An 11,339-nucleotide genomic window follows, 5' to 3' on the forward strand; every position below is an offset into this window, starting at 1 on the left:
CTTACCATCTTGAGGCCTTTTTAAAAATGTAGCATAATAATATAGTTTTGATATAATTAATGTATAAATTTTAAAATTTACATAAATATCAGCAACTCCAATTTTATTATACAAAAATTAAACACTATATTTCTTATGTCCATGTAAAAATATTATTTCATAATGCATTTCAAATTTCAGTATTTTTATTAACACATAATAACATGTATTAATACCTGATACATATTTATGGAGTACAGATGATTTTTGATACATGCATACAATGCAAAATGATCACAACAAGGTATTTATTATATTCATCATCCAATCATTTGTCATTTCTTCATGATGGAAATATTCCAAATATTCTTTTCCAGGTATTTTGAAATAAACAATTAATTACTGTTAACTATAGTTATCCTGTAGTGCTGTCAAAAACTAGAACTTATTCCTTCCATCTAATTATATGTTTGTGCCCATTAACCAACCTCTTTTCAGCCCCATACCCACCCTTCCCAGCCTCTGGCATCTATCACTCTACTCTCTACTTTCATGAAATCAATTTTTATAGCACCCACAGGTGAGTGTGAGCTTGTGATATTTGTCTTTCTGTGCCTAGCTTATTTAACAAAATGACCTCCAGTTCCATCCATGCACCCGCCAATGACAGGATTTTATTTTTTTATGATAGATAGAATTCCATTGTGTATATATACCACGTTTGCTTTATTAATTCTGTTGTTGATGGACAGTCAGGTTGATTCCATATCTTGGTTATTGTGAATAGTGCTGCAATAAACAAGTGGGGTACAGCTATCTATTTGATATGCTGATTTCTTTTCCTTTGAATAAATACCATCAAATGAGATTGCTGGATCCTATTGTAGGTCTTTTTTTTTAGTTTTATGAAAAATTGTCACACTGCTTTCCATAATGGCTAAACTAATTTACATTCCCACCAACAATGTGTAATAGTTCCCTTTTCTCCCAGTCCTTTCCAGCATTTATTTTTTATTTCTTTGATAATAGCCATTCTGAGGTGAGATGATAACTCGTTGCCGTTTGAACTTGCATTTCCATGATGATTAGTAATGTTGAGCATTTTTAAATATACATGTTAGACATTTGTATGTCTTGTATGTCTTATTTTGAGAAAAGTCTACTCAGATTCTTTGCCCACTTTTTAATGGGTTTATTTATTCTTTTGCTGTTGAGTTTTTTTTCTTCTGAATTCTGAGTATTAGTCCCCTGTCAGATTAATAGCTATTTCTCTCAATCTAAAGATTGTTCTTCACTCTGTTTCTTTGCTGTCCAGAGCTTTTTATTTTAATGTAGCCCACTTATCTATTTTTGTAGAGGCATTTTGCCTGTGCTTTTGAAGTCCCAGTCATAAAATCTGTGCCTAGACAACTGTCCTAAAGCATTTCCCCTGTTTTTGCCTAGAAGTTTTATAATTTTAGGTCTTATGATTTAAACACTTAGTGTTACTGTGATGTATCACATTTATTAATTTGCACGTGGTGGAGGTATGTTCATCATTTACTTCCTTCTGCCTGTGGATGCCACTGAGGAAGCATTGTTAAAGTCTCTCTTCCCCTTGCCATTATGTCTAAATCAGAGTCTCCTAAATAGCCCGAACATCTGAGGAAGCTCTTCATTGGATGGTTGAGCTTTGAAACAACTGATGAGAGCCTGAAGAGCCATTTTGAGCAATGGGGAACGCTCACGGACTGTGCGGTAATGAGAGATCCAAACACCAAGCGCTCCAGGGGCTTTGGTTTTGTCACACATGCCACTGCAGAAGAGGTGGATGCAGTCATGAATACAAGGCCACACAAGGTGGATGGAAGAGTTGTGGAACCAAAGAGACCTGTCTCAAGAGAAGATTATCAAAGATCAGGTGCCCGCTTAACTGTGTAAAAGATATTTGTTGGTGGCATTAAAGAAGACACTGAAGAACATCACTTAAGATAATATTTTTGAACTGTATGGAAAAATTAAAGGGATTGAAATCATTACTGACCAAGACAGTGGCAAGAAAAGGGGCTTTGCGCTTGTAAACTTTGACGACCATACCGTTACTGGGAATGACCACAACTATGAAGTTAGGAAAGCCCTGTCAAAGCAAGAGATAGCTAGTGCTTCATCCAGCCAAAGAGGTCGAAGTAGTTCTGGAAACTTTGATAGTGGTCTTGGAGTTGGTTTCAGTGGGAATGACAACTTTGGTTATGGAGGAAACTTCAGTGGTCTTGGTGGCTTTGGTGGCAGCTGTGGTGGTGGTGGATATGGTGGCAGTGGGGTTGGCGATAATGGATTTGGTAATGATGGAAGCAATTTTGGAGATGGTAGAAGCTACAATATATTTGGCAGTTACAACAATAGGTCTTCAAATTTTGGACCTATGAAGGGAGGAAACTTTGGAGGCAGAAGTTCTGGCCTCTATGGTGGTGGAGGCCAATCCTTTGACAAACCATGAAACCAAGGTTGCTATGGCGGTTCCGGTAGCAGTAGTAGCTATGGCAGTGGCAGAAGATTTTAATTACTGCCAGGAAACAAAGCTTAGCAGAAAAGAAGAGTCCGATAAGTGACAGGGAAGCTACAGGTTACAACAGATTTGTGAACTCAGCCAAACACAGTGGTGGCAGGGCCTAGCTGCTACCAAAGGAAAAAAAAAATGTTTCAGACAAATACTCATGTGTATGGCAAAAACTAGAGGACTGTATTTGCGATGAGTTGTATAACAGGTTATTTTAGTTTCTGTTCTGTGGAAAGTATAAAGCATTCCAACAAAAGGTTTTAATGTAGATTTTTTTTTTTACACCCATGCTGTTAATTGCTAAATGTAATAGTCTGATCATGATGCTGAATAAATGTGTCTTTTTTTTTTTTTTTTTTTTTTAATGTGCTGTGTTAAGTTAGTCTACTCTGAAGCCATCTTGGTAAATTTCCCCAGCAGTGTGAAGTTAGAATTCCTTCAGAGTAATGCCAAGTCCTATTTGGAATTTATATACAGTCTGCTTGGGTGGAGAAGCCATTGTCTTCAGAAACCTTGGTGTAGTTGAAAGATAGTTACCGTTATGACCCGAAGTTCACCATTAAAAGGGATCACCCAAGCCACCCAAGCAAAATCATGGAATTATTGGTTATAAAAATGATTGTGGCCACATCTGATGCAATATATCTAAATTGAATGATGGTACCAGATAAAATTATAGATGAGAATGAAGCTTTTGTATCATCCATTATCATGTGTAATCAATAAACGATTTAATTATCTTGAAAATAAAATAAAATAATTTGCATGTTTTGAACAATGTTTGCATCCCTGGGATAAATCTGATTTGATCATGGTGTGTTATCTTCTTAATATGTTGTTGGATTTGACTTGCTACTATAATGTTGAGGATTGTTTCATTTATATTCATCAGGTTTATTTTCTTCTAGTTTCCTTTTTTGTTGTGTCCCTATCTAGTTTTGGCATTAGGGTAGTGCTGACCTCATAGAATGAAGTAGTCAGAATTCTCTCCTCTTCTAATTTTTGGAATAATTTGAGAATTGTAACTAGCTTTTCTTTAGAAGTCTGGAAGAATTCCATGTAGCAGTAAAGCCATGGGGTCTTGGGCATTTCTTTTTTTGGAAGACTTTTATTGCTGATTCAATCTCATAGTCATTATTGGCCTGTTCAAGTTTTCTATTCCATCCTAGTTCAATTTTGGTAGGGTGTATGTGTCCAGGAATTTATCCATTTCCTCTAGGTTTCCAATTTGTTGTCATATGATTGTTCATAATAAATTCTAATGATCCTTTATGTTTCCATTATATCAGATGTAATGTCTCATTTTTATCTCTGATATTATTTTTTCAGGTCTTCTCTCTTTTTTCTTGACTAGTATAGCAAGCAGTTTATCAATTATGTTTATCTTTTGGAAAAAGTAATTTTTCATTTCATCGATTATTTATAATTTTTTTTAGTCTCCATTTTGTCTAGTTGTTTTCTAATCTTTATTATTTCTGTCCTACTAATTTGGGCTTTGATTTGTTGTTACTTTTCTATTTCTTTGAGGTGCATCATTAGGATTGTTATTTAAATTCCTTCTCCTTTTTGTAGCTGTTTATTGCTGTGAAGTTTCCTCTTATCCCTGCTTTTGCTGTGTCACATGGGTTTTTGTTTGTTGTATTTCCATTTTTACTTGTTTCAAATTTCCTTTTACATTTTTTCTTACTATCTTTGTCGATGCAAAGGTAATTTAAAAGTATGTTCTTTAATTTACATGTATTTGTTAAATTTTCAAAGTTTCATTTCTTATTGTAGTTTTATTCCTTTATGTTCTAAAAAGATATTTGATATGATTTAAATTAAAAAAATATTTAAACTTGTTTTGTGGCCTAATATATGGTCTGTCCCAGAGAATGTTTGCATGTGCTGATGAGAAGACTGTGTATTCTGCTACTGTTTGATAAAAGGTTTAGTAAATAAATTTCTGTTAGGTCCATTTAATCTACAGTGCAAATTTAGTCTCACAGTTCTTTGCTTATTTTCTCTCTAAATAATCTGTCCAATGCTGAAAGTGTAGTGTAGAAAGTCCCAACTATTAATGTATTAGTGTCTATCTCTCCCTTTAATTCTAATAATATTTGCTATATATATATATATATATATATCTATATATATAGATAGATATACACACACATACATATATATATATATATAAACATACACACACACACACGCACATCTTCCAATGTTGACTGTGTGTATGTGTGTGTTTACAATTGTTATAATGTCTTCGTGATTTTGCCCATTTTTTATTATGTAATGACCCTTACGTCACTTTTTATGTTTTTGACAAAAGAGTGTTTTGTCTAATATAGGTATAAACATTCTACATGCTTCTGTTTTCTGTTTGTGTGGAATATTTTCTTTTCATCCATTTCATTTCAGTCTATTTCTGTCTTTACACATAAAGTAAACGTCTTGTCAGCAACATACAGCTAGATTTCTCTTTTAATCCATTTAGCCAGTCTATATCTATATCAAATTATGTAAACTCAAGGTTGTTATTAATACATGAGGACTTACTACTGTCATTTTGTTAATTGCATTCTGATTATGTAGTTTATCTCGTTCCTTTCTTCTTTTAGTGTTTACTTTTATTTTTCAGTTTGTTTTTTTTTTTGTAAAGATAACATGTCAGTCCATTTTCTTTCTAATTTAGGTATATTCTCTGTCAGTGAGTTTTATAATTTAGTGGATTTCAACGAAGGTAGATTTCATTCCTTTGCTTTCAGATGTATGATTCTTGTAAGCATTTATTTTAGGGCCAGTCTAGTGATAATGAACTCTCTCCTTTTTTGCTAGTCTTAAAAAACATGTATTTTTCGGCAGGGCATGGTGATTCATGCCTGTAATCCCAGCACTTGGGGAGGCTGAGGCAGAATGATCACTTGAGGTCAGGAGTTCAAGACCAACTTGGCCAATATAGTGAAACCCCATCTCTACTAAAAATACAAAAATTAGCAGGGCATGGCAGCGGGAGCCTGTAGTCCCAGCTACTTGCGAGGCTGAGGCAGGACAATCACTTGAACCTGGGAGGTGGTGGTTGCAGTGAGCCGAGATCACTCCACTGCATTCCAGCCTCCTGGGTGAAAGAGCAAGACTGTCTCAAAAAAAAAAAAAATGTATTTCTCCTATATTTTTGAAAGATACCTTTGTGGAGTATAGTATTCTTAATCTGCAGTACTTTTTTGGTCAGCATTTTAAATATATCATTCCATTCTTTTTTTTCTTTCTTTCTTTCTTTTTTTTTTTTTTTTTTTTTTTTTGAGATGGTGTCGTGCTCTGTCACCAGGCTGGAGTGCAGTGGTGTAATCTTGGCTCACTGCAAACTCCGCCTCCCAGATGGAAGCGATTCTCCTGCCTCAGCCTCCTGAGTAGCTGGAGCTACAGTCGTGCACCACCACGCCCAGCTAAATTTTGTATTTTTAGTAGAGATGGGGTTTCACCATGTTGGCCAGGATGATCTTGATCTCTTGACCTTGTGATCTGCCCGCCTCAGTCTCCCTATCATCCCATTCTTTTCTGACCTGTGAGGCTTTTGCCAAGAAATCTGCTGTTAGTCTTAAGAATTCCCTTATATATGACTTAATACTTTTTCCTCCTCTTTTAGAAATTTTTTTGTTTCCCTTTTGATTGTTTGACTATAAAATGCCTTGGAGATGACAATATTGTCTTGTAACTATTTGGAGATATTTGATCTTCCTCTATCTGAATGTTTATATGTATTTTCCAAGATTTGAAAAGTTTTCACCTATTTTATTATTAAATAGGGTATTTATGTCTTTTAAAAAATTTCTTCTCCTTCTGTAACTCCAAAAATTCAAATGTGTAATCACATTATGGTGTCTCATATATTCAAAGCTTTTTAAAAATTCCTTTTTATTCTTCTTCCTTCTCCTTTCCTCCTCCTCCTCCTCTTCCTCCTCCTCCTCTACCTCCTCCTCCTTTTTCTTCTTCTTCTTCACCTCTTCCTCCTCCTTCATTTTTTTGTTTAACTCTGTTACTTCTAACACCTGCCTTTAAATTTAAAAATTCTTTTCTCTGACTAATTTAGTTTACTGTTTAATCTCTTAAGTATATTGTTATTTTACTCATGAAATTCTCCCATTTCAGAATTTTGGTTTCTTTTTTATGATATCCATTTTTTGTTGAATTTCTAATACAGATCATTAATTTTTTTCTAACTTATTTGTATTGTTTATCTGTGTTCTCTTATATCTCACTGTGTTTCTTTAATCATTATTTTGAATTCTTTGGTGGGCATTTTATAGATTTCCTTTTTGGGGGTCTGTTACTGGATAGTTATTGTGTTCTTTTGAAGTGTCATGTTTTCTTGCTTTTTCATGTTTCTTGTGTCCATACATTTATATCTGGGCATTGGTGTAACAGTCATTTCTTTTAATTTTATGAATTAACTTGCATAGGAAAAGGTTTTTTTCTCCGGAAAGATGTAATGTATCCATAGTGTTTGCTGGGTAGAATGTTTTGCCTTTAATTCTGGTGTAGTCTCTGCATAATTTCTCTGGCTATAATTACCATCAGTAGTTTCTGTGAGTTCTTCAGTAGCTTAAGCTATAGTTATTAGTGGAGTCAGTGGTGAGGTTTTGCTGGAAATGGGACATCAGCTGAACCCATCTTTGGCGACAAATTATGATGGCAATGAACTGGGCATGCTTCTCTTTCAGCCCCTGGGTGGCATACGTGATTGCTGCTGATGGCAACTTTGAGCTGGCCAATCTTTACACCTCTAGGTGGTATACCTCTAGGCAGGTGCCAGCAGAGGCAGTGGTCTGCCAGGCAGTCCTTGGGATCCAAATGATACACGTGGTGTCAACATTGGCAGTAGCAAGTCCAAGCCAATACTCATACCCTTAAGTGGTGTACATGGGCTCTAGAAAACTCAATTAATTTGGGGAAGATTTTCATGAACTTTCTTTTTGTTCCCATGCCTTAAGCAGACATACTTATTCCATGTTCTGGATCTTTCATATTATATAATGCAGTAATATGATATTTCATTAATTTTCTTTCACATTCCTACTCTCAGCTCCTCTACATATAGATTAACATATTCTAAGCTATTATCACCCTCAATGAATCACCATTTCTAGAATATTGTATTAATTTTAAGCCTCCATCATGCCCTTGCTTTCTGAAAAGTAAATTATTTATTTCCTTCTTGATTCTTATCTCTCCAATGCTTTCCACTCTACTCTAACTCTCACCCCTCAAATGTAGGGCTAATCTTTTCTTCTTCTTTGTACACTGACCATAATTATATTCACAGCAAATTTTGTCCTAATGATGCTACAGAAGACATAGCTAGATAGGAGACAAAATGAGAGAACTACAGAGACAAAATATTTCATTCACTTTGCCCCACCCTCATATTTATTGCATTCATCTCCTTATTCTAGAACCTCACAAATAACAGTAAAAGTTGATGGAATGAATAAATGTATCAAAATTTGAGAAAATACAGAATACAAATATTGTTTTCTGTTAATGTGTCTTTGATTTGGCCATACTTTCTCAAAATAAAGCATTGAAACCACCCTAGATGTCTCAGAAGTCATTGCCTTTTTATAGGGCACAAAGTAAAAGAATGTCCAATCTTAATGTTGATTTTTTTTTCCTATTTAGACACAACTCATTTCAAATTTAATGAAGGTATTTCTTTAAAAAATGATCTCTTACTAAGTAAATATGGTTAATACATAAAGCATAAAAACACTAACATCTACATAGAATATAAGCATAAACTACTTAGTAATAAGGTTTAGATTTTAAAATTTAAAAGTCACTTGTTAATCGCACCCCTCTTTTGCTCCAAATATGTGGCTGTCATTTTTTCCGTAACTTCTAGAACTATAAGCATTTTTCTATAACTGCAAATACAAAAAATTAATTGGGAGAAGCTTAGAATAATATAACAGAAATTGACATCAAGCTTAAATATGAATAACTATGATTCTATATAGAATTATAAAAAAACCATTGGTGCATACATGATTTGTTTAGCATTGTCTATATGAGTCTATATGACTGAGTTTGATGGTTCTTGGGAAAATTATAAGAGTTTTGAGAAAAATTGGTAATCCACTCCAGCAAATATTTATTGAATAAGAAGCATGGAATTGAAAACACTTCTGTGTATTTTCTGCATTATTTTCTGCAAATTGGCACATAATACAGAAGCAGATATAAATATTTTAGCTTTTTATTGCCTATTGCTTGGTTACTATAGTTTTTCTTCAGCCTAAAGCTGTAAAAATGAAAAATCTGTTTCTGGGAAGAAATTGATATGAAAGATTTCATTTGAATTTATTCTTTCTAAAATGTAACTAAGATAAATATTTAATATCTTAATCTTATTTTTATTTTGGTTAATATTTTATAAAGTTATAGGCTAATGCATTTTTAAGACAGAGTTCCAAATATCGTATAGTTTTGTAACAATAAATGTATTTATCAATTGATGAAAATTTTTAATACTTTAATTTTTTAGATTTGTAATACAAGTTGTATTTTAATTTACTGCACATATATTTAAAATATAAGAATTTGATTTGTTTGGAAGTACTTGATTTATTTATTTATTTTTTGCTTACTTTGAGGAAAGGTATTATATCCACCTAGTTTTTAGAAAGGGGAATAAATGGTACCCAAATTAATAATTACAATTGAGGCTATCCTCAGGTCAAATTGCAAAAATAGTTTACTTTCACATTCAATGTCTCATTTCAGTCTGATTAACAATAAGACATCTGCATGACGATTGTCTGCTTTGAAACATGACCTTTCTAAATAAACATAAGTTTTGTTTGTATAAATTATTCTATGAATATTTTCCCATTATGTTCATATATTTGCAGATGATATTGTTTGCCTTTTAAATGGGGCTTTTTGTAGATGAAGACTTTACTCAAGGTAAATTGAGAAGCCAGTGGTACAGAGGACGCTTCTCAGGGACTATCAAATTAAAAATATAAATTGTAACACTAGTCTAGAGTATATTAACATTTCAATGTGCTCACTCCATGAGTGTGATTTTACTTATAATTTCAGAATATATGAGTGTGATTATATGCTGATTATTCACATTAGTACTTGTAGTTACTGAAATTGACTAATGTTCATACCCAGGATTATGCCTCTCTATTGTGTGTTTGTCTGTATGACACCTAGGAAGGGAGGAATAGAAGAGGGAAGAGAAAGAGATTAGAAAAAATTTTAATTTAAGAAAAATTATATAATATTTTATAGTATTTTCTACACCTGTACTTAGAAGCTTAAAAAAAAATATGTGCTTAAATATGCTTAGAATTCTATATTTCAGGCTGAGCTCAGCCATAGTTTTCCTCTGGTGGTTTCCCTTTACAATATTCACATTGCTGCAGCCTTCCGTAGCTTCATTGGAACCGGATAGTTCACTATGGTCTCACTTTAATTAATGCATCTCACAGGTGAGTAATTTGTTGATTGTTGGCAAAATGCACCCCTTTTCTACCATGTTTTCTCCCAACAGGAATATCTAGATCTAATGACATGGATCTAAGAGGATGGCAAGGAAGCTGTGAGGCCCTGTGAATTCTTGCTCAGAAGTGACAACAGCATTTCTAATAGATTTGATTAGTCAAAGCAAGTCACAAAACCAATTTTCAAGGGGCAAGGAAAAATATACGTTACCTCAGTGTGAAGAGCTGTTGTAAAGTGTTTGTTCTCATGTTTTACCTAAATATTAAGTATTTTTTTTTATTTTTGTGTTTATTTGGAAAATTTTCTAGAATTATTGTTCTCACCATAAGCAAATGGATTTTTGGAAAGTGACAAATATTCTTTTAGGGAATATTCATTTGTCATTAAGTACAAAAGCTTCCATTTTAAAAATGTCATACTAAAAATGTACATTATTGTGATTTTAAAAGAAATATTCTTTGATATTCAAATTTTTACTTTCCTTTTAATTATGAAGAGAGAAGAAAGTCTGGCCAAATAATACTGATATTCACAATTTCTTAATCAGAAAGGTCTTGAATGTTATCTAAATAAATTTGTGCTTAATTTTAATTATATTAGTTATAATGCTTTTAATTTTATTGTACAAAAGATAGTGAATGACAATTAGACAGTTTAAATCTTCTTTAAAAAGATTGAAAGAGAATTCTCCATAGGAGTGAGCAATAGGGACTAGACTAAAATTTTTCTCTGGAAGTATATCTGGACTGTATAAATGATCATTAGAATTATGGATGAAACTTAAAAGACTAAATATAAATATGTTTTCATTATGAACTGGAAGCAATCGAGATATATATATATATATGTCTATATCCATATGTCTATATATTTCATTCATAGTATGAAATAATCTATATATTTCATACTATCGACTATCTTGTGCCTATAGCATGAAAATTATCTTAGGATACATAAACACACACATACACAGGCACACACCCACGCACACATACTATCATTCAACTGTTTGAGTTTCACTCAATCTAAATTTTCACATTATAGATGTTTTGTGAAAACAAAAATAAAATCTTCAAGAAAATAATTTTTGGGAAAGGAGGGGCAAGGGAAATGAAAAACTGAACCTCTGATAACAAGACTGCATTAAAATATTTGTGGATTGGCTAGCTTTTAAACTCTATACTATTTAGAATATGTAAACTTACAAATTAATTTTGATTCTTAATTCATTGTTATGAAAGTATAATATTGTTTACACTACACAGATTAATTCATGTCCTGCCATGCAGAATTATGAAGGAATGAAATTCTATTTCATTTCCTT

At 32.9% G+C, this 11,339-nt stretch overlaps 1 pseudogene; it reads left to right on the top strand.

Moving 5' to 3' along the window:
- Positions 1,504-2,715, top strand: HNRNPA1P47 (heterogeneous nuclear ribonucleoprotein A1 pseudogene 47; annotated as a pseudogene).
- The last annotated feature ends 8,624 nt before the right edge of the window (positions 2,716-11,339 follow it).

Source organism: Homo sapiens, chromosome 2 (assembly GCF_000001405.40).
Source record: "Homo sapiens chromosome 2, GRCh38.p14 Primary Assembly".
Lineage (NCBI taxonomy): Eukaryota > Metazoa > Chordata > Mammalia > Primates > Hominidae > Homo > Homo sapiens.